Genomic DNA, 25,706 nt, shown 5'->3' with positions numbered 1-25,706 from the left:
AGTATGCAAGAGTCTTTGGAGATTATTAGTAATTTTAGGGAATTACAATGATGAAAAGTTATAAGGGAAAAAGACTTTACATATTCTTTAATAAAAGAAAATTACCTGTCAAAATCTGTCTGCATAGACACTAGTATTAGATTCTTGTTCTTCAAGAAAAAGGCATGTCTGCTGGTCAGGCTGAGGTATCATCTATCCTCTATTTCTCTAAATAATGTTTTTCTGATAAAATATGCAAATACACAATACACATATATATTTTGTGTGTATATTATGTGTATATGTGTGTGTGTGTACATACTTATACATAAAATAAACACTCTGGAACTAAAATTTCAAAGAAAGTCAAAGAAAATAGACAATAGTGGAACTCCACAAAACTTACCAGTAACCTGAAATAGTGTAACAAATTTAAAATTAATTCCCATAAATCTTCTACATACATTAATTATATCTACAAATAATAAATTCATTAAAGATCAGCAATTTTCTGATTAAATTATTCTATACAATAGGTACATTTAGATAAGTCAGATATATATTTGGAGAGGAGACCTGAGAAAACTTCCCTTTGTCAATGTTGATTAAATTCATCAAATAATGAGTTTCTACTTAAAATGTGGCAAGTGCCCACACACCCTCTTAATGATTCCCTTTAGGTATCTGCATACCAAGTAACAGAAATACATATAGGTAACATTTTTGGACATGTCTATCCTATTTTGTACTTTTGTATTCCGTAAAGAATCTTAATAATAGCCTTCTTTAGAAAGAGCACTGTGGATTTCAATACATCATCATAGAAGGTTAATAAAAATAGCTAAAAATTATTCGGCCCTTACTATGAAGCAGATGCCTTTACTGCAGTTGAAAAAACATAGGACTGGGAAGTTACCTCACTCTTCTGCCTCCTTTATGTGTAGATTTCAGGTAGATTATATAAAGTATTTCTACATACCGGCCAGGCATGGTGGCTCACACCTGTAATCTCAAAACTTTGGGAGGCCGAGGCAGGTGGATCACGAGGTCAGGAGTTCAAGACCACCCTGGCCAACATGGTGAACCCCCCTTCTCTACTAAAAATACAAAAATTAGCTGGATGTGGTGGCACCTGCCTGTAGTCCCAGCTACTCAGGAGGCTGAGGCAGGAGAATTGCTTGAACCCAGGAGGTGGAGGTTGCAGTGAGTCAAGATCACGCCACTGCACTCCAGCCTGGGGGACAGAGCAAGACTCTGTCTCAAAAAAAAAGTCTTTCTACATACCAATATGAAAAAAAAATCTTATAGAAAAATCGTCAAAATAGGGATAGGTACTTCTAAGAGAAAATAAATAATTGAAAAGCTAATCAGCACAACCAGTAATCAAGAAAATAAAAAATAAAATAAGATGTAATTATTAGTATTGGTTATATCTGGTTTGGCACTGGTGGAGAGAAATGGTCACCTATACACTGTTGATAGGAGAGTACTAGGGCAGGATGTATCAAACTCAAATGTGAGCATGATGGCAAACAAATAGTCGTGTCTCTAGAAATATACCTGTTAGAAATACTCACTTGTGGGCCAGGCACGGTGGCTCATGCCTGTAATCCCAGCACTTTGGGAGAAGGAGGGGGGCAGATACCTGAGGTCAGGAGTTTGAGACCAGCCTGGCCAACATATAGTGAAACCCCATCTCTGCTAAAAAATGCAAAAATTAGCCTGGTGTGATGGTGCACGTGCCTGTAGTCCCAGCTACTCAGGAGGCTGAGGCAGGAGAATCGCTTGAACCTGGGAGGCAGAGGTTGCAGTGAGCCAAGATCACGTCACTCTACTCCAGCCTGGGTGACAAAGCGAGACTCCATCTTTGAAAAACAAACAAACAAACAAAAAAAAACTCACTTGTGCATTCAGAGATATGAAAAAGAAGTTCATTAAAGCATAATTTATGAATAGCAAAAATATAGACAAAATTCTCAACAATGAAGAAATTATAAATAAAATTGGCATGGACAGGAGACAGGGAAAATACTGGGTAGGAGAGGGTGGTTCCCCCACATAAGCCCCACCCTCAAGCCTGGAAACCACAGCCCTAAGTGAGAACTGGCATTCCTGTTTTCGCACTCAAAAAGTTGCCTTTTGGTCCACCATGCCCCCTATCCTGTACCCATATAAACCCCAAACCCCAAGCTCCAGGAGAAGGCAAGCAGACGAATGGCAGAATAGTGTGGCAGAGAAGGAGAAAAAAAGAAGGAGCATCTATACACCAAGAGGAGATTGGCTGGGAACAAATGGAGAGGAGATGGGCCTCTGGGCAGCCAAACTCCAAGGGAAGATGATCTTCCCACCCATCCCCTTTCCAGCTTCCCATCCATCCTGCTGAGAGCCACCTCCACCACTCAATAAAACCTCTGCATTCATCCTTCAAGTCTGTATGTGACCTGATTCTTCCTGGACGCTGGACAAGGACTTGGAGAGGACACTGAGCTGGTTAACACAAGCTGTCTGTGAATGGCAAAGCTGAGAGAATGCGTTGTAACACATGCCCACTTGGGCTTCAGGAATCACACACACCCACCCCTAGACACTGCCGTGGGGCTGGAGCCCAGACCATTCATCCTGGCTCCTGCACTTCCCTGTCTGCATGCTTCCCCTCCCATAAGGGGTTTGAGCTCACCAAGGCTGAACAGAGAGCCACACCCCTGTTGCATGTCCTGGAACGAAGGCCAGGGAACTCTCCAGTATCAAAATTATATCATATCTCTACTACGGAAAACTATGAATTAATTAAAAAGAACAAAATAAATTGTGCGAAAAGAACTCCAAGATATATTTTAAGTGAAAAAAGAAAATTAAGTAGCAGTAAATAGATAAGAAAATTGCAGTTATATTGGCAGAAGGAAATAGAATTTGCTGTTGAGAGCCCAAAAGTGGGCTTTCATGTTTTAATTCTATATACATCTGGGTTTTGGAATAGCTTATAAAGTATTCTTATATTACAGATATAATTAAAAAGCAATACAAAAGTGAAATTCTTTATGGACCTCCTATTTTTCTTGAGAAGTTATGAGGCTCAATTATACATATAAAATTGTTTTAATTTTTATACTGTACTTCATATGTGTGTTTTAAAATACCTCAAAGAAATTTAAAAATATTTAAAAAAATAGAACTCACCATTTTGGAAAGAGCAGCATATTTAGAATCATAGAACTTTGCTCTTACTCTTTATACAACCTCATAAAAATCTTTGAAATGTGAACCTCACTCTTCCGTTTTCAAAATGCTATCTGTCCTGATGATTTCTCATTTACATAATCATACCGTTCCAGACTCAATTTCTGGAGCCACTGCCAAATTCAAAGGGGTTCTGTAAAATTCATTCTGCAAACAGCAGAGCATTTTATACATTGATAGGTATAGATGTAGATATTTAGTTAAGCTGAGACTATTGGGGAAAAATATAAATAAGCCTGTTTTTGTATTTTTCAATGTAACTCACTACGTATCATATTAGAATCCACAAGCAAAACACAAAATTCAGCTTATACTTAATCTCCTATATTTAGAAATTAATAATGTAATCTGTTTTATAAACTAAAAAGTAGCTATTATAATTGTTTCAGAAAACAGTATTGAAGTTTTTCTGCATTTAATTTAACAAAAAGCTAAAAGAAGAAGAAATGTGTATGTTTTTACTCATAAAAGATTGAGGATCAGTTAGCAGCTTGCCATAAGTACTGTATCACTGTCCAGGGGCAAGGCAATTATAATAAGTAGAAACTATACTTGCGTATTGCTGTAGGGGGAAAATACTTATTAGATTTATTCATAAAATTAAGTACATTTTTAACTTACAGCTGCTGTATTTAAACCTCATGATATGGTTTGGCTGTGTCCCCACCCAAATCTCATCTTGAATTGTAGCTCCCATAATTCCCACGTGTCATGGGAGGGACCCGGTGGGAGGTCATTGAGTCATGGGAGTGGGTCTTTCCCGTGCTGCTCTCATGATAGTGAATAAGTCTCATGAGATCTGATGGTTTTATAAATGGGAGGTCCCCTGCACACACTCTCTTGCCTGCCGCCATGTAAGGTGTCCCTTTGCTCTTCCTCTGTCTTCTGCCATGATTGTGAGGCCTCCCCAACCATGTGGAACTGTGAGACCATTAAACCTCAATCCTTTATAAATTATCCAGTCTTGGGTATGTATTTATTAGTAGCATGAGAACAGACTAACACACCTCATATGTTAAATAAGAAAGATAGATGAGATTAGATAGATAGATGCACACATATAATCAAGGAAATATAAAGATGCAAGTTCATAAATTACATTATACTCAGGAAAAAATAAATAATTTTCATTTGTTTAACATTTACTCAGCACTTTTCACAGAAAATAACCTGACTAATAAGCAATTGCAATGGCTTAAAGGTAACGTGCAAGAATAGTTCTGGTGGTGAAATACGAATGTTTACTTAAGAAAGTGACAATTAGCTCACAAAACAAAAAAAAAGAGAAAGAAAAGAGAAAGAGAATAAGAAAATAGTTTAAAGGTTATAGCAGCTGTGCAAATAAAGAAAATGGTGCAATCAACAGTTCACATCCTTCTGATGGATCATTGAAAAACTTCTATGTAAATAGTTTTGATGTTCAAGCTCCTGTAGAAAATAATGCAGTGAAAAAATGCAAGTAAGAAGCTGTAAAGTATGAAGAATCTTGCAGACACTTTTCTTCCAGCAGATATGGGCCACCGATCAGCTGATTTATATATTTAAAAAATTAATCAGAATTAATGACTTTTAAAAATGACAAATAACCGCAACCTTTGATGGAAAACAGTAAAAGCTGTAAGTGTGATATGCCCTATTGGATCATGGGTACCATGCAAATGACAACACAATGGCCTGGACTTTTAGCCTGAATGCTAAATCAAGTCTCCAAACAGAGAAATTTTTCTCACCTTAAGATTTTTTAATAAAATAAAGTAACAAAAGTTAATGGCCTGCCAGATGTTCACCACAGGGAGTTTGTTTCACGGAAATTGAAGAAGGAACTTAATTTTGAATTTATGGGAACACTTCCCCTCCATTTTCCCTTGTTTGTCCCAGGTTGCTTTTCAGCCTTGTTGACCAAAGCCAGAAGTGCCACACTGGGACTCTTTCAGTGCTATTCATCTCTGCATTAGAACAAGATGTGTTTACATTTTTCTTTATTTTTTTTACTTGCCAGGGTACAGCTAGAAGTAGCAGTAAAATTATCCTAAAACCAACAAGTGTTCTGATAATTTTTGATCAGCTCAACAGAAGATGTATCAAATGAATCAATGAAAATATCTTGAAGCATAGTCAGATGTTCAATCTGTAGTATTCTGTGAAGATACTTTGTTTTTCAGCTTCCATATTTAGAGTGTGTGTGTGTGTGTGTGTGTGTGTTGTTTATTTAAGCATTTTGAAAATGAAGTGAAATTAAAACATTGCATTAGGGTGATATTCAAGTTTATATAAGGACATAATAGTAGAAGAATCCATTTTTTTCCAAAGCAGTTTTAGCTTAAAATGTTAGAGACCTATGTGTGTATGCCTTGGGCAGGGGCTGAAGGAGTTGAGAATGAAAGAAGAATAAAAACAATCAGCTAATCCTCAAACTGTAGAACCATGCTTAATAATTATTTAAGGAGAATGTTTAACATCCATTTACATGTGGAAATCTGCACAAAGAGTAGACTCATTACCTACTCTCTTTCTTAGTGGCTCCTAAACTTTGAAATATGCATAAAAATCACCTAAAAATTAGTTAAAATTGTAGACTTCCAGACCCCGCCAAGAGAACTTGAAAGGGAAGTATCTCAGGAGACTTTCCTTCAGACGGTGCATGACCCACAACCTGCAAAACACTGTTTTCTATTCTTATGACAAAAAAGCACAAAAATCTGTTAAGATAATTTTACCTAACAAACAATTGTGGACATCTCTCCTTTCTTTGATATCAACAAAAAAGAGGCCTATAATTTTTGTAAAACATGTATATCATAATAAGTGTTTTATAGTCAACTGAAAGAAAAAATAGTAACCTAATAAATATTTATGGAATAGACAATTGAAAGAATAAATACACAAACAGCTTTACCCAACATATAATCCCCTGGATACTCAAATTTTGCAGCCAGAAATAAAAAATCCCTCCTTCAAATTGATTAACTTTCTGCACAATTTACAATTTAAAAACAACTCTTGTGTTACCTTAAACCAACATAAGCAAAATAATACATTAGTAGGCAGTACATAGTGCTTATGTTTTTTTCATTGGAAAATGTTATCCTAATGTACTCTCTCTTGTTCATTGGTGGTGATAGTAACAAATTGCTCAGTATCCCTGACTGAGGGAAGACATACGAACTGAATGAAGAATGTGTCATCTACCTAACCAATCTTTCACTTTAAGAGCAGTATTTCTCAAAGTTTAGCCATGAGTACAATCTCTTCATAATTTTGGCTGCCATATCCTTGTAAGACATGTTAATATATCATGAAAAAGAACACAGGTATTTGCTGTAGTCACTACCTATTATAGTGTGTGTATATATTATATATAATATTATAATATTAGCACATGGTACCTATGAAAGAAGGACTCTTCCAAATCTTTCCATGTATAGGAAATTCTTAAAATGTTCAAAACACCTTACCCTTAAAGAGCCAAGGACTCATTATCTTCTCCAATGACCTTTGGGAAAGAGTATAGGGAGGTGGTGATGCTACTATGGGGGGTGTATTAATACATATATATAATAATAGATATATCTATAGATTTACTAATTTCACTTATCTCACTAAATCTCCAGTGTGTTTAACTAGCTATATTTTTCTACCTCACATTTAAAATTTTAAAAATCTCAGCTATTAAAGTTTAAAGGTGTTTGTTCATCTACCACCTAAAGTAATCTTATGTCCCAGCAGCAATTCATTCACTACGTTTTGAGAAACTGTGCTTCCAGACTCCAAGTCCTAGAAATAAACAGTCCTTCAGATAATCTCACACTCACCTATGAATGAAGGACTCTTCCAAATCTTTCCATGTATAGGAAATTCTTGAAGTGTTCTAAACACCTTATACTTAAAGAGCCAAGCATTCACTATCTCTTCTCCAATGACCTTTTGAAAAGAGAATAGAGAAGCGGTGACACTAAATGTCTTCATCTACATATTTCACAATGTATTCTCTGTTAAAGGGAAGTCACCAGTCAGATAACAGCAGAGGACTTGGGTCACTGTCTATGTTATTTACAGAAAAAAGTAAAATCTACATGATTCAATTTGCCAAGATAACTCAGGCTAAAATGAGGCGAACATTATCCCCAGATTACTGAAATAATCATCTCTATCTATATATTTTTCTAAGAATAATTGGCCTCAGTGTGATGGCTCACATTTTTTCTAATTTGACTAAGTCTACCTTGTGCTGTATCGGTTTTACTGTGTTTAATTTTACCTAAGTTATTTCTTCTTCCTGCCTGGTTTGAGGACTTAAAAGAAAACAGTTTATTGGGTAAAGTTTTAAAAGTATATAAGAAGGCTATGTATGTTTCTATTAATATATCACAGAATAAAAAACTCAGGGATAAACATGAATAGATTTCCCGCAAACTTTGAAACTATTTCAGGTATTTATTGCATTGTAAATAAGGTCTGCATCTATAGGCATTTGAGGAGGAAATTTCTAATGAGGCAGTATATTTGTTCCTATACATTTGTATCTAATCTCAAAATAATAAATCAGTTCCATCCAGGAATGTGAAAATATGTGAATAATATCAGCATGTTGCCCATGAAATAATATAGTGAATTGAAAAATGAATGCTTAATTAAACCATGATCTATTTGAAATGCTTGCACTTTTTTAACTCACTTAAAATGGGAATTTAATCTCATAAGTGATCCAGCCTTTCCATCGGTCTTTTCAAATTTACCAACCGTTTAGCTCTGTCCGTAGTATAGCACGAATTATAGTCATTTCTGTAATTTACCTTTACATTTTCATTTAAAAGTATTTATTACCTAAATATGACTAAAACTCAACACAATAACTTTATCATGTTATTAGAGTATTTCCATGTCCTACTGCTATTTAAAATATTTAACTTCAGAGTCAGCTATGATTTTACAAAAATCACTTAGTGTATACTGAGAGATCCATATCCTTTCTCAGAGCAAGTATTCAGGAAGCCCACAGTTTCCCTGGAGGAATAAAAGTAACCAAATAATTAAACCACAATGATAATGCAGAAATGTATCAGGTAATAAAGGAAGGTGCATAATGTTTCCACAGCAGTGAAGAGGAAAATAGCTATTCAATTCCTGAGGTTTCCTAGGAAGGTGTTTTAAAATTGACAAGATCAAATAAGTACCTTCTGGTATGACTACTAAAATAAAATGCAAAAGCAGCTATGAATTAACACAGGAGACCATACATGCACCACTAATTACGTGACAAGCCCTTGCTAAGTATTTTACACATAATAATATTTTATTTCATCTTTGTAGCAATGCTGTGAAGTAAATATTATTATTCTCCCATTTTACAGACAATGAAGCTAAGGTTTAAAGAAATTAAGTATATTGCCACAGCTTTGCAGCTAGTTAAGAATGCAATCAGATCTCAAACAAAATTTGTCTGATGCCAACAACTGAAATCTTGACTACTAAGCTGCGCATCAGTTTGTGAACAAGTCCTTTGAAATGATAGGTAGAGTCTAAAGCTGTCTGCTTCAAGCATGGCATCCCTTTGAAATTTTGATCACTTCAATTCCTGTGAACACTGCCTTTACTCAACAACAATAGCACCAACAATACATGTTTATATTAATACTTAAACTTTGGAACCTCTTCAAAAATTATTGGAGCAATACTTTTATACTTTACTTGAAGATAGTGACATTTATCCTGTGGCTTTATTATGCCCCTATGAGACCTCTAAAGTTAGAGAATCTCAGCTAAATGATATACCAGAATTACAAAAAAAAAAAAAAAAAAAAAACTACACACACAATAAAAGAAAATAAAATTTTTACCAAGAAGAGAAAAAAACAAAACAGAGGAAAATGAAGGTGGAAAACATTTGAGGCCATAAATGAAGTTAGTACTGTAATGCCTTATCAACTGTGACTTTGACAATCATGTTTTCATTTTTCTATAAAACATTGTATAGCTGCATAAAATGTTCTAACCGCATGCATATATGTTTACACAGAATAGTTTCAATCTCCTTAAGCAAAAGACTCTACTGAAATTTCACTTCTCTACTTCTGTGGATCACTTGAAAGAGTCTAGGGGATTCTGCAGGTATAAGGCATCAAGTTAAATCCCATGATCTCAATGTGCAGATGAAAGAGTAGAAATACATGTCCTTCAGGACCTTAGTAATTTGTGAACATGCCAAGCAGGTACACAAGCATTTATCTGAGACTTACTAAAAACGCAATCGAGAAAAAGATACATTAACTTTCAAGACAGTAAAAGGTAGCTTGAAGACTTTACAAAGCCATACACTCCACATAATACAAAACTTCTAGGAGAATCTGCCTCAGCAGAATATACCACTTCTATAATATCACCTGAACAAACAAAAGTGATTCCAGAGAAAAGTTCTGTGTGTGTGTGTGTGTGTGTGTGTGTATGTGTGTGTATAGGTGTGTCTAACTAGTGCTTTTGTTTTGATGAGATGGATAAATTTAAAGCAGGTATTTAACTCAGATTGATCTATTTTATTTTGGAAGTGGATTTTTACTAGAATTTTTATTTACTGAGGTTTAATTTTTAGTATTTTAAATGTGATGTTTTTGCAGTCTCTCATTTTTGTCAACTGTAGTTTCACCACACACAATACTTTTCTGTAGTGTGTTACCTGTGGCTGGCAATGGATTACTGTGCAAAAAACAGATGCCAGGACTACACGGTATGCTTAGTAGATGTGTAACATGGATTTGGACCCAAGATTTTGAAAATGCAATCGATTACATGATTCACAACATCTGGAAGATAATAATCAGACACTGACAGTCAGGACATTCTTTCTCTTCCATACTGGATTTCTCATCCAGGCTCAAAGCATCTGGAGTCATCTCTGACATCTTTCTACTTCAGGTCCCATATTTAATAATCAAGTCCCGTAGTTCCACTGTCATGGATCTCTCAGATCAATTTCTTCCTTTCTATTCTCATTGCCACCACCATATTTCAGACTTGCATTACTAACAATCTGCTCTCTCACAATACAGGCTTCACACTAATCAATCCTGAAAATGCCATCAGGTTAATCTTCATAAAATGCAATTCTGGACATGTCACTCACCTGCTCAAAAATTTTCAACAGCTCCCCAGTGCTAGAGAACAAAGTCTATGCTTCTTAGCTTAGAATTCAATGTTCCCTGTTTTATTATTATCGGTGGATGTTTATTTTCTTCTTAGGAGGTAGGATCGTTTTTTTCCTTTGTGTGTAGAGAGTAACTGACAGAGATTTATACACAGAAGTATGTATTTATTTCTGTAGATTCTACCATGATTCACACACGTCTCCCTTTCTCAATTCCATCTTACATTGAATTATCATAGGAGTGTGCTTGTATATTTATAATTTCCTTTGTACTATGGTATTTATTACTTCAGTATTTTTTTCTATTATGTTTTTCAGAATTAAGTATCAGAGACAGTCTCTCAAAAGCAGCCATCCCTGCTTTACGTTGTTGTCAAAAAACAGACTTTATTACTTATCTGTGGAGTATAAAGTCCTTGAGGTCAGAGATTAAACCTAATCGTAGTCCTCCTAAACCTTTACTTCTTTCTCCAATTTTTCATTGACCTGGTATGAGCACAACAACTGTGTTCACTGACTGCTGAATGTCCAGGCACAGAAAAATCAGGTAAAAGAAAAAAAAAGTGCCAGTGATATTTTCAAACATCCTATTTGTCTGAACAAATTCTTTTACTTGGGTGTGAGTTAGATTATACTGCTGCATTCACAATCCCCCTACTCGGGTTGTTTGTCAGTGCTGCCTCTCTCTGCACAAAGAATGATTACAGATGAATCTCCACATGGGTGATTTAGATGGGAGATCACTTATCAGACCACTTGTATTCAATTCAGAACTAAATATACTATTGGGGCGCCATAAATGTTAAATAGCACTAAAAATAATAATAACTAACCTCTTCTTAGTACATGTGCTCCTGAGTACACACACTTGAATTTTTTCCAATTACAATTCAAGAACATTGCAGGTCCCTTTATTCAGGACCATTATTCAGGCACGTCTGGAAATGTTTTATTCAGGTTGTACATCTCTTCTCCACAATCTTTGGTTTAGAATTCAGCTCTCTAATAATGAGTGGAAATTGGGATCTGAAAGAGAAAAACACTATTTTCTTAAATGATGAATGCTACAGGCACACATTGTTTTAATCTGAAAAAAAATAAATAAAAGCCTGAAACCTTTTCCTAGACTGCTAAAATGCTGGAACTTCGAAAATAAAGAGAAAAGGCAAATTAAAATAAAATTCAGCTCTTTTTTTTAAATGAGTGATCACATCTGTAACATTACAGGAGAATAACATGACTAACATCAAAAAATGAGCTGAGAGCATTTTAGCAATAGTCTATAGGCAAATGCATAACCTGAGTAGACATGCATTGCTGGTATAAGTAAAAGTAGAAAATATCTGTTTTCGTGGTGGTCGTTGTGATTATCATTGTTTCTGGTGATAATATAGATAAGGCCTGATCCTAGAGGACAGCTTTGCTCAACCCTTTCCGTGGGCTGTACTTTACTCTCTTATACATACCTGAGGGCAGTCGTGGCAGCCCCATAAGCACTGTAATGAGATCTGAGCAAGAAAGACTTCAAAATAAATCAACTTTGTTTCTCCCCAGCTCAGAAAGTTGTGGCAACTCATTGCGAGACTTCCCTGTTTTTAACTGTGGAGCAGGCTGTTTTGCTTTGACTCCTTCATCAACCCTAGTCTAACACATAACTGCTTGGCCATTCTTGGAAAAATGAAAATAAAATCAGCCAGTCATGGAGCGAGCATCTGGGTATTGTAAGTTCAGAGAGCTTTGGGAGTCCAGCTGAAGCAATGGGGAACTCACAGCTGAATGGCTGCTCTTTAATGGAGAAGTGCAGGACGATGGTGGCAGAAGCCATGTCAGATAAGCATCTCAATGGGGAAATCGGCCAGCCAGACAATGACTTGCCCAGAAAATAGGGACATATTTAGTACCACCTTGTGTTTAAATGACCACTATGACAAGAGCTGTTAAGCATTAAGCAGGTGTGTGCTATCCGTGATTGCATTTGGATCTCCCAACTTAGTAGTGTCAGTAGAACTAATGACTGAGACAGATAAAGTGGCATACTTCCTGCATGGATTAAGATTCTGTAAGCAAGCCAAAATAAAGTTCTGCACACCTGCCACATTTGAGAAAACAGAGTCATAATTCCTAAGATGCTTATCTAAACTTGCTGGTCTTAAATTCTCAAATGGATCAGCTCAGAAAGATTTCCGATATTTGTAGGTTAGAGAAAAATCACAAAAACTTCTGTAAGCATTTATCTGTTCTGAATCTCTTACTCATGCTAGCTTCAAAATTACTTTTGCTATGACTCCTGCATGTGTGATCTGATAAGATCACTGACATAAATTAATTACTGTGAAATGGAACAAAACAATGACTTAGAATGAATAAAACATTGGTTAAAAAAAAAAAAAACTCCTAATTCCAATGCTCTATACTTGACTTAGTTACATTTTAAAAATAAATACATAAGCTCTATTTGGCAGGTGAAATAAAAGCTTAACTTGAGAGCGATTTTGACATTTCCCCTCAGATTTTTAAGCTACTTTGTAAACATTATATTTTCTTTGTTTTTTTAGATCCTATATAAGAAAGATTGTAATTGCACCATTTCTGAAAAAATTTTCTCAGCTCAGTAATTCAAAAAATCTTCTGCTCTATTCAAAGTGTTTGCTATCCATTATACGATATAAAATGATAAATAAGATAATTTGGCATTGATAAATTGATAAGATAATTGGCATAAATAAGATAAATAAGGCATTGGTCTATATCATCAGAAAACTTATTCTATGAGTGGAAAGTACATGTTCAGAAAAACAAAGATTTTATATATATATATGGAATTAAATATCATATGAGAAACAAAATAAATAATGGAATGGAAAAAATATAAATTAAAAATTATTTTTCAAAATTTAAGACAAATCCGGGACAGATGAAAAAATTTGAACAGGGACAAAAGGAAAGCCCTTCTCAGAAAAAAGAATAAGTAATATTAAAATAGATACCATAAAATGAAGTTATTTTTATGGGTTGGTTAGGGGCTCAGTTTGACTAGAACAAAGGATTCATGAAGAGAAAGTAGTTAGTTACCTTCATGTACTTGATACTGTTCTAGATACTTTGCATAAAACTGAATAAAATGCACTAATTCCCTGCTTCCACAGCAATTAACATTTTGGAGTTATGAAAACATCTTTGTACATGTGTCTTTAGCATAGAATGAATTTTGGATGAAAATTTTCAAAATCAAAACAATTAAATGCATGCCTGTAATCCCAGCACTTTGGGAGGCTGAGGTGGGCGGATCACGAGGTCAGGAGATTGAGATCCTCCTGGCTAGCACGTCTCTACTAAAAATACAAAAAAATTAGCCAGGCGTGTTGGCGGGTGCCTGTAGTCCCAGCTACTCGGGAGGCTGAGGCAGGAGAATGGCGTGAACCCGGGAGGCAGAGCTTGCAGTGAGCCAAGATCACGCCACGCCAGAGAGGTTTACAATAATTTTGGCTTTTGGTATCATGTTTTAATATGGCTTACTAATGTCAATACTTACATAATTTACCTATATTTCCTCTAGTACTATAAAAATATTTTCACATTTAAATCATCGGCAATTTATTCCGTGTGATGTAGGAGTCAAATTTGTTTTTCTAAGAGGTGAGCCCCCTACTTTCACACCATTAATTGATTAATCCATCACTTTTCCTCAATTATTCATTCTCAAATAGTAAGTTCTTCTGTATAACAGCATTCTTTCTCTAAGATATAAGGTATAATATTTTTAAATAGTTCATTAAAACCATTTTTGCTGGCTTTAATACCATATGCCTCCCCGAATATTTCAGTAAATCCTGCTAGTATTATGACTGCTATGACTCATTTCTTACTAATCTAAAAGAATTCTGAAACTTTCTTCTATTTTTTCATAAAAGCTGATGATTTCAAAATCCACTATATGTTTTTTGTGTTTAAATATCTTACTCTCTAATATTCATAATTTATTTCATTTTCTGATCTGATTACATTGGCAAAATCTTTTCCTGGATATAGCTAGAAAAAGGTATAGTAGCTGTTGACAGACTTCTACCTATAATTTAAAATTCATGCTATTTGGATAAACCCTGGGAGCTAACAAACACCTCCATATCCCCATTAAACAGAATCTTAGCAGGTGTCTATTATGGCTAAGTCATATTCTTGGATGAACGATTAACAGTAGCACCCTATATTCTACACTGATGGAAAGTAAAGAATTGCCAAGTGATAAATAATACTATTAGGAACAGAATGGGAAAATGAAGGCAGAGGTAGGTAAATGGTTAGCCATTGTCTTCTTTTTCCATAGTATCCAAATAATGAGGTCTTTTTTTTTCTCCCCAAGGTTTTAGTATGAAGATTTTCAAATTTTTATTAAAACAGGTAGCTGATTTTGGAAGAATTCAAATGACTATTCTTAAATTACTAAATCTAGTCCAGAAGCCATGTTGCACAGAGAAACGTATCAGAGTCATCTGGGAACCTTTCAAACTGGACACACACACACACACACACACACACACACACGCACACACACACCTCATCCACTTCATACTCATAGAGACCTTACTATGCCTCCCACTTTCCATTAAAATGCTACAGAATGGCTGGGTGCGGTGGCTCACGCCTGTAATCCCAGCACTTTGGGAGGCCAAGGCAAGTGGATCACAAGGTCAAGAGATCGAAACCATCTCGGCCAACACAGTGAAACCCCATCTCTACTAAAAATACAAAAATTAGCTGGGCACAGTGGCATGCACCTGTAGTCCCTGCTACTTGGGAGGCCGAGGCAGAAGAATCGCTTGAACCTGAGAAGCAGAGGTTGCAGTGAGCCGAGATAGCACCATTGCACCCCAGCCTGGTGACAGGGCAAGACTCCATCTCAGAAAAAAAAAAAAAAAAAAAAAAAACCACTATGAATAAACCATTGCTTCTGATGGAAGTGGATCAAATGTTGGGGGTGTGTTAAGAATCACTTCTGTATTAACTAAGAAATTGAAAAACACTTCTATTTTAACTAAGAGTTTAATCACTGAATTACTCAATAAACATGTCTTGAGTAACTACCACCTGCTCAGCACCTAGCCTCTAGGAACACAACAGTGTAAGATTTAGACATGGTATTAAATAAAGCTGCAAGTTCAGGATGGAAAGATATATGCTAGGAAAAAAATAGATCATTATGGGACTATTGAGAAAGAATACTAATCTGGTTTTGGCAAGTGAGGGAAGGATGTCCAGTGGTATTGGTATCCATGTTGAAACCTAAACATTGAAATAAATGAGTGAGGCAAAAACAGAAGAAATTTCCTAACAGAGGCAACAGTCTATATAAACACTCTGAAGTGAGAGATTGAACTGTCTTTGAAGAAATAAAAGAAAAAAATTTTTAGAATGACCGGAGTGTAGAATTCAAGTTGAAGAAAGGAGGGAAAACCGAGAGAGTTACTGAGATAAAACCTGAGGCTAGGAAAGTAAACAGGAGTCAGATAATAAAAACCCTACTAAGCCCTGTAAGGCATTTGGATTCTACCAGAGTGCATGGAAGATAAGGTAAAAATTTGAATCAGGAAAGTTACCTCAGTTCCTTCTTTAGAGAAAAAAAAAAACCCTTTGACTAAATGAGCAGAGCATATGAGAGAGAGAGAGCAAGTCTAGAGTCATGGAAATAAGTTAATAAATAAAATTGTTTTATGTTGACTTCCGATCAAAAGTGCAAGTAAATATTAAACAACTGGAACTCTTGCTAGCCATTGATTACTATGTGAATTATCTAGTTAAAACACAGTGTCTTGTTATACTTAATAATTGCACTATTTATAATCTAAATTGTTTACTATCTAAGGTTTAACACTCAGAGAATTGATTAAATTGGGTAACTCCTCTCTTGGATAGAAGCAATAACCTTCAATGGAATGCTAACTACCTCTGAGAATTATGTTTAACTCAGACCTTCATTGCCATAGGCAGAAGTAATTGATTTTAGGCCGGGTAAACTGGTTCTTAATACATATGCCCACAGGGAAAATGTTATTTTAATAAGATGCTTCTATAAGCCACATGCTACTTAAAACAAAAGGTTTTCTCTTTGTCTTCATAAGCAAAAATTGAAAGACCCTTGTTTGTCCTTAAGTTCGTAGTAAACAACCATGAAGTAACTTAATACTGAGTCGCAGTCTGCAAAGTATCTTTGCCAATTCAGCTATTTACTTTAAAAAAACAAAACAAAACAAAACTGTAACTTTCCTAGAAAAATAAATCTATGTTTAACATTCTTGAATACCACTAATTAGGATACCTAAATCTACTCTTATTGGTCCTTCAGCAGTTGTTCTTTTATTTCGTTATCCATTGTTTTGCTCTAACTCTACCCCACAACTAAAATTAAAGTATACAAAATAATTGGAAACTGTTAATAAAGCAAGAGATTATGGCAAATAAATAGAGAGTCTTTAAGAAATGTGAAATGACTGATTCATATGAGCAGCCAAATCCTGATGTTGATTTACAGATTTCATCTAATGGAGTATAACCACTAGAGATTGCTCAAGACTATCAACTGAATAGTGGAGAAAAAATGTTTCATGTGTATTTCTATACATGTTTCTATACCATCCATTAAAATTTTTAATTTTGGTCTATGTTTTGCATCTCATAATATATTAATATCACATATTATATCAAATTTATTTATAAATACACAAAAGTTCATATGTTTACGCCTAAACCACCAGTATAGCAATGTGAATATTATCTAATCAAATTTACCATCTATTTTTACTACTGTATAGCCCCTGGTTTACAAAAGCCCACTTTACTCTTTTAGACATATTTATAAGATTAAACATTTATTTAAAAAAAAAATAGTTGCTTTAGGCCGGGCGTGGCGGCTCACGCCTGTAATCCCAGCACTTTGGGAGGCCGAGGTAGGCGGATCCCGAGTTCAGGAGATCGAGACCATCCTGGCTAACACGGTGAAACCCTGTCTCTACCGAAAAAAATACAAAAAATTAGCCGGGCGTGATGGCGGGTGCCTGTGGTTCCAGCAACTCTGGAAGCTGAGGCAGCAGAATGGCGTGAACCTGGGAGGCGGAGCTTGCAGTGAGCCGAGATGGCACCACTGCACTCCAGCATAGGCGACAGAGCAAGACTCCGTCTCAAAATAAAAAAATAAAAAATAAAAAATAAAGTTACTTTAAATTTTCAAGTTGTGGCTGGTATTTTCATCCTTTAAAAATAATTTTTGCAAACTTAATTTTTCTCAAACCATTGGTAGTAATAAGCTTATTTTATGTGGCACACAGATTTTTTAAAATTGTATTAATTATGCATTTATGTTACTGTCAGTTGGGGAAATAGAGCTAGTGCACAAACTGCATGATTTCATAAATGTAATATTAACATTATTTTCTTGACAATATTTAAATAAATGTAAAATAAAACAGCAAAAAAAAAATATATTTGAAATGTGTGTCCGTGTGTGTAGACAGATGGAAAAAAGCAATCCAAGTACAAAAGCACAAATGGCACTTTGATAATGCAAAATTTACAAGGTGGTTATGCTTATCTAGGCTAAGAATGAACAAACCTGCCAACAGTCTTCATACCCCTTGCTGAGTTGGGAATTTGCCAGATTAGAAAAATTCATGACTGTGGACCCTTTGACTTTTTTTTTTTTTTTTAAGACAGAATCTTGCTCTGTTGCCAGGCTGGAATGCAGTGGCCCAATCTCGGCTCACTGCAACCTCTACCTCCCTGGTTCAAGTGATTCTCCTGTCTCAGCCTCCCGAGTAGCTGGGACTGCAGGCATGGGCCACCACGCCTGGCTAATTTTGTATTTTTAGTATATACGGGGTTTCTCCATGTTGGTCAGGCTGGTTTTGAACTCCTGATCTCAGGTGATCCACCCGCCTTGGCCTCCCAAAGTACTGGGATTACAGGTGTGAGCCGCCACGCCTGGCCAACTTTTATGAGGGTTGCTGGCAGAAGGACCACATCAGCACTTGAGGTTTTGTACTTCTACCAAAGAAGAAATCGCTTTCTGCTTGAGTTATGTATCTCTGTGTTCTATGCTTAGGGTTGAGGTTTGGAAACACTCTTCTAGCCAGAGGGTCTTGCTGGGATATTTATAGCTATTATTTAAATGTAGAAATTAGTTAAGATATTTCAAACCATCTTTTCTGAATCCCAATTAATAATGACATTTAATTGAACATATCATGAGTATGTATCCTTACTGCTTGTAATGGTTAATTTTATGTGTCAGTTTGACTGGCCTACAGGGTGCTTTGATATTTGATCAAACATTATTTTAGGTGTGTCTGTAAGGGTCTTTTCAGATGAGACTAACATTTTAATTGATAGACTGAGTAAAGCAGATTGCTCCCATAATATGAGTAGGCCTCATCTGATCAATTGAAGGCCCGAATAGAACAAAAGACTGACTTTCCCCCCAAGTAAGAGAGAATTATTTCCTCCCATTGGCCTTTGAACTGGGGCCTCAGCCTTTTCCTGCCTTCATACTTTAACTTAATCATCAGATCTTCCTGGGTCTTAAGCCTGCTGATTCACCCTGCAGATCATGGGACTAGCCAACCTCCATAATTGTGTGAGTGCCAATTCCTTACAATCAATCTTTTTCTGTATGTGTATATCCTATTGATTCTAGTTCTCTGGTATATTAGTCAGGGTCCTCTAGAGGGACAGAACCAATAGGATAGATGTATATATGAACGGGAGTTTATTAAGGAGTATTGACCCACACGACTACAAGGTGAAGTCTCACAATAGGCTGTCTGCAAGCTCAGGAGCAAGGAAGCCAATCTGAGTCCTCAAACCTCAAAAGCAGGGAAGCCAACAGTGCAGCCTTCAGTCTGTGGCTGAAGGCCTGAGACCCCCTGGAAAAAAATCACTGGTGTAAGTCCAAGAGTCCAAAAGCTGAAGAATTTGGAGTCTGATGTTGGAGGGCAGGAAGAATTCAGCATAGGAGAAAGATGATGGCCAGAAGACTCAGCAAGTCAGCTTTATCCTAGCCATGCTGGCAGCTGATTAGATGGTGCCCACCCACATTGCAGGTGGGTCTGCCTCTCCCAGTCCACTTACTCAAATGTTAAACTCCTTTGGCAACACCCTGACAGACACACCCAGGAATAATACTTTGCATCCTTCAATGCAATCAAGTTGACAATATTAACCATCACAATGGGAGAACCCTGACTGATATACCCTTATAAAGGAGGACTGTAGACAACACTTTTATTCTAACATGAGGACTAGATCAGTTTAGGCTTCATATGTTAACCAGTGAGAAAAACAACATGAAAAGAGCAATTATCTCTCAGCACAACATGATAACTTTGATAACACCTGCACATTTGTATAAAATGCTCAATTTAAAAAGCAAATAATTATTGAGCCAGCCAAAGGTTGTCAGTCTCATTAATAATTGTATTTTTAATTTTCTCTTCACTTAATGATTTACTTTCTTGAGCTTCTAATCTTGAAAGTGCACTTTAATAGAGCCATAGAGAGTGGTGTTAAAGAGATGGCACATTTACCATTGTGCAGTAACATAAAATCAATGGCAGCTAGTCATACAGGCTTTTTCAATTTCCATCACACATGGTACGCAGACCTTGGTTCAGTGGATAATCCAATTGTAAACAGGGACTCACCGTTAACAACTTTAGGAAATAGGATTAGCAATTTCTAATTTCAAAGCAAACCTATTTCATTTTTGTCCTCTAAATAAAAACAATGTGTTCAGAGATTTAGCTTTTCAGCTTTCAGAGCTCCTCAGAAACAAAAATGTTGCGAACACATTATTTATTGTACTGATGCCACTAATAGAAACCATCCAGTATATGTTTCTAATAGCCTTTTAATTGTTTGGTACTAAAAAAATAAAATAATAACAGATTGAAGCTTAACTGATGAAACTTAAAATTTGAATTGAAAAGTAAAATTTAACCAAACATCCAAAAACTAGAAGTCTTGGTAGTGTCCTCTACTAGAGGTAATCTGGAGAAAAATAAAAGGCTTATGTATTATTAGAAAGCTTTGTTTCCAAAACAAAGGTTTTATTTCCAAACAAAGGTAAAATTTTAGGAATCCGGTTTGTCTCAACACACAGTTAAATTGAATCAATGATTTTCTAATTTTTGTGAATTATTTATTGTACCATTCTAAACCTATTTTCCTGTGAATTCCTTCACTGGAACATTGCCTCAGTGGAAATCTCTACCTTTACACTAAATTACAGATTCCTCCCAGCTCCCTCTTACAAAGAACAGAGAATGTTGGCCTTTATCTGCTTTTAGAATAGGAAAGCATCACCATATTGGGCCACAGAGACTCTGTCAATACTAATCTCTGGCTTTTAAAATGTCCATGCTTGAATCTAGTCCCCAGAAATTTCTTTAATTGGTCTGGGCTGGAAACTGCTAATCTGTACTTTTTAAGCTCTACAGATATTTATCGTGTATACCGCTATAGTTGGGAAGCACTGACCTAGATTAACCAACGAAGGATTACTCCAAAAGAAAGCCTGATGCCACATACCTGAGATTTAGGACCGTAATATTTATTGTCCAGGTCTTTAGCAAGAAAACTATACCGAATCTAAAGAGTAAATCAGATCAATCAAGAGACAGAATAAAATTAGTAGACAGAAAAGTCAATATTGAAGACTGGAGGAGTTTTATGGAACAGATTTTATGACTTGTGATAATTAGCAAAAAGTAGATTCTGCAGGTAAATTGAATGAGCAATTCCAGGCTGAAAAAACTAAGTGTAAATATCTTCCTAGCTCCTTCAAAGAGAAGTTCTGTGGGAAACTTGATTACCTGTTAAGACAAAAAAATTATACTATCCTAACATCATTGTTACATGTTTTATTGAACTTGTAAATCATTAACAAATATATTCAAATCATTTTTGATGTAGGTTCATACTACCTAACATGAGAGTAAAGAAGGTTTGTGTCATGTAAAACTTTTTGGTAGAGAGTAGTTAAAAATCAGACAGAGCTCCATATCCATGGACAGAGGAATGCCATTTGCCTTTAAAATCTTAGTCACCTTACACATTTATAAAGTATTTTTATAAATCTACACTCTCCTTGGACTTTGCTAGCCACTAGAATTAATTCATTTATTAATCTTTTCTTCTGTATTAGCTATGTCCAGTAGGCACTATGCAAAGCACTAGGCACTCAGAAAAAGATACAGCTCTTTTCCTCATAGATCTTACATTCTCATAAACTAGATAGAAACTTACCCAATAATTAACATATGTATATGTATGACATAATTAGTTGTATGTTAAAAGATAAGAACAAGATGTTAAAAGGACACAAGATAATTCAACAACTGCTTCTTGTGGTTGGGGACAGACTGCTAAGAGGCATTAAATTAAATAAGAGAGATTATATTTCTAGTAATTTTTGAAGTAATCCCATTACTAGGTATATACCCAAAGGATTATGACTCGCCCTACTATAAAGACACATGCACACATATGTTTATTGCAGCACTGTTCAAAATAGCAAAGACTTGGAACCAACCCAAATGCCTGTCAATGATAGATTGGATAAAGAAAATGTGGCACATATACACCATGGAATACTATGCAGCCATAAAAAAGGATGAGTTTACATCCTTTGCAGGGACATGGATGAAGCTGGAAACCATCATCCTCAGCAAACTAACACAGGAACGGAAAACCAAACACTGCATGTTCTCACTCATAAGTCGAACTGAACAATGAGAACACATGGACACAGGGAGGGGAACATCACACACTGGGGCCTGTTGGGGGATGGGGGCCTAGGGGAGAGACAGCATTAGGAGAAATACCTTATGTAGATGACGGGTTGATGGGTGCAGGAAACCACCATGGCACATGTATACCTATGTAACAAACCTGTACGTTCTGCACATGTATCCCAGAACTTAAAGTATAATAAAAACAGAAAAAGAAAAAAAGAAAGAGGACATTATGTTTAAAGCCAAAGATAATTCAAATAATATGTATTAGCAGTGGTGTCCAATCTTTTGGCTTCCCTGGGCTACATTGGAAGAAGAATTGTCTTGGGCCACACATACAATACACTAACACTAGCTAATGAGCAAAAAGAAAAAAAAAAAGAGAGAGAAAGAAAAAAAATCACAAAAAATTATAATGTTTTAAGAAAGTTTATGAATTTGTCTTGGTTCACATTCAAAGCCATTCTGGGCCACTTGCGGCCTGCAGGCCATGGGTTGGACAAGGTGTGGTCCAAACAGAAGCTGCAAGCTGGGAATGACATAAGAAAGATTGAATAAGACCCATGTATGGCCTTTTCATATTCAAGATAGTTTATGTTCTGTTTGAAGGTAATAAAGAACATCTTAATTACACAAGTCAAATCGTTAAAATATTAAATATAGAGAAGAATTAAATGAAGTTAAATGGTAGACAGAAACATCAGTTAAAACACAATTAACATAATACAGTGGACAATTACGAGAAACAGAGATAAGACAAAGTCTGTGAAAATGTAGATAACAGAATTCATTGATGAGGTGTTTAGAAATTGACAGTATTCAGTAAACACTAGGAATGAAGAAGGTTGGAATAATCTAGGATGATTTCCAGTATCTGGCTTATAAAACCAAGGCAAGCAGAAGTGCCTTTTGGTAAAAGGATAAATTGAAACGATTGATTTAGGACATAGAAATTATATGCACAGTTTTATACCAGTTGAATTTCAGGTACCACTGCGAACCAATAGGAGTTTTCTTAGATGTCTTACAGATATATTATGATATGTGAGAGAAAATTTGTGTTTGAGATATGAATTGTGGCGTCATCAATTTATATTTGATTCTATAGCCACAGGCCTTGTTAGAAACATTTTTACTTCTAATGCAGAGGAAACCATAGAAGTAGTTGATAGTAATATTCAGGTGACAGAAAATCTGGCAGAGTTCACAACTTTCTTATCCAATATATTTTGAGAAGATAATAGGGCTTACGATGAAACGATGGAAAACAGAGAAACAAAGGGTGTGGTAGAGGATATAGGTCTAAAAAGGAAGCTAAAAAAGATAGCTCAGGCCAGGCACAGTGACTGCTCATCCCTGTAATCCCAGCACTTCGGGAGGCCGAGGTGGGTGGATCCCCTGAGGTCGGGAGTTTAAGACCAGCCTGACCAACATGGTGAAACTCCTCTCTACTAAAAATACAAAAAAGCAGCCAGGTTCGTGGCACATGCCTGTAATCCCAGCTACTCGGGAGGCTGAGGCAGGAGAATCGCCTGAACCTGAGAGGCAGAGGTTTCAGGGAACCGAGATAGTGCTGTTGCACTCCAGCCTGGGCAACAGAGCGAAACTTTGTCACAAAACAAACAAACAAACAAACCAAAAAGATACCTCAAAAAAGTAGAAGAAAAACACACCCAAGAGATGAAAGCATTTTAATGTAAAAAATGAAATGGTCAACTCTACTAGCGAATGTTCTTCAGAAATTAATTATATAAAAACCACAAAGTACACATTAAATTATGCAATGAGACATTTCTGGTAATTGTTGCAAAAGTAGTTCCATGGATTTCAAGGGGCAGGATCCTAATTACAGTGACCTGTATGTCGGTGGCATTAAGTAAGAAGTGAAGGATATTCTTTCAATAAAGTTTGTTATCAATGAATTAAATTATACAAGTGATGCCTGGAAGAATATATCAAATTAAAGTGAGTTCTGGGTTTATTCATTGTTTTAGGTTGGAAAAATAGAAATTTGTTGAAAGGAGTCTGTGTAAAAAGGAATGTTGACGTTAAGAGAGTGAGCCATGATACTGGATGGGTTGAAGTCCCTGAGGAACTAGGGATGATGAGGTCCATTTCAAAGCAGGTAGGAATTTTTTTTTTTTTTTTTTTTGAGATGGAGTCTCGCTCTGTAGCCCAGGCTGGAGTGCAGTGGCCTGATCTCAGCTCACAGCAACCTCCACCTCCCAGGTTCACGCCGTTCTCCTGCCTCAGCCTCCCGAGTAGCTGCGACTACAGGCACCCACTACTACGCCTGGCTAATTTTTTGTATTTTTAGTAGAGATGGGGTTTCACCGTGTTAGCCAGGATGGTCTCGATCTCCTGACCTTGTGATCTGCCCGCCTCGGACTCCCGAAGTGCTGGGATTACCCAGCCACTGCACCCGGCCCAAAGTAGGCAGGATTTTTAAAGTTGTTATTAACAGAATCATTGCTTTCTTCAAAAAAGTAGGGAGAAAAGCTAGAGTGGACACAGGTATTTTGCAGGTGAAAGATTAAAACTAGGAGAGTTCTCCTAGTCTAGCCTGTTTTCTCTATGAATTCAAAGGCATAGTCAAGTTCTAGGACTCAAGAGATAAGGATAAGCAAGGGAATTTGAGAAGAGTTCTGGGAACCTAACATAATAGTATATGGAAGAGACACTGTGAGTAAAAGCTTAAAAGATCTACAGGAAGATTTAAATACCTAACATAATAGTATATGGAAGAGACACTGCAAGTAAAAGCTTAAAAGATCTACAGGAAGACTTAAGTACCCAACTGAAACTAGAAACTATACATCTGCTCTCTCCGGTTCTCCCATAGGTATGTGATATCCTTTAGCAGTGCTCAGCAGCCTGGATGTAGTCAACAGAGACAACAAATAACCTATGTTGACAATTGGGCCTTAAAGTGCAGGGATAGAAGACATAGAGACAAAGCTGTTGAGGATATTGAAGAAAGAGGCTCTAAAATGAGCTTTCATGACTTTAAGATGAGATGCAGGAGAAAAGGAAGCCTGGATAGGAAAATAGAAAATTGAAGAATTAAGGTACTAAAAGTTATCATGAATTCAAAGCATAGATTTAGTGAGGGGAAAAAGTTGAATGTTGAAAAAGTTATATTCAGGCAGTAGAGTGTTACAGTTAACGATTGCATAATACAGCAATTATTTTATTTTGTACATTCATCTTTCTCTACTATGCCTAGCACTCAATAAATCTTTGTCAAATTAAACTCATTCTGACATAGAGATTTTAAAAATATATTTATAGAATCAAGAGATAAATCATATAGTGACTTAAGTTTTAAAATACTTTCCTCCTATAGGCAAAGCATAAAGGTTTTATATCCAAAGTAGTAAGCCACTCAAAAGAAATAGCCAGCACTAAGCCTTCAATTTCAAGATAAAACTCAGGATGTGATTCAAATACCGTGTTTTTGGGCAGCAAGATCTAATTTTAATTTTAGATGTGTCATCCTATTCATGAGATATTTTAAGTAAAGATTTCACTCCATGAAGAGACTCCCTATCAGAGCCTAAAACGAATGCAGG

The 25,706-nt window shown here is 36.0% G+C and overlaps 1 long non-coding RNA gene across 1 annotated transcript in view; it reads right to left on the bottom strand.

The window, feature by feature from the left end:
• LOC105379107 (uncharacterized) overlaps positions 1-25,706 on the bottom strand; it is a 339,090-nt gene that overhangs the window by 65,752 nt on the left and 247,632 nt on the right. The window lies entirely within an intron of this gene.

This window comes from Homo sapiens, chromosome 5 (assembly GCF_000001405.40).
Source record: "Homo sapiens chromosome 5, GRCh38.p14 Primary Assembly".
In the NCBI taxonomy this organism is placed as follows: Eukaryota; Metazoa; Chordata; class Mammalia; order Primates; family Hominidae; genus Homo; species Homo sapiens.
This window is presented reverse-complemented; position numbering and strand designations above follow the sequence as displayed.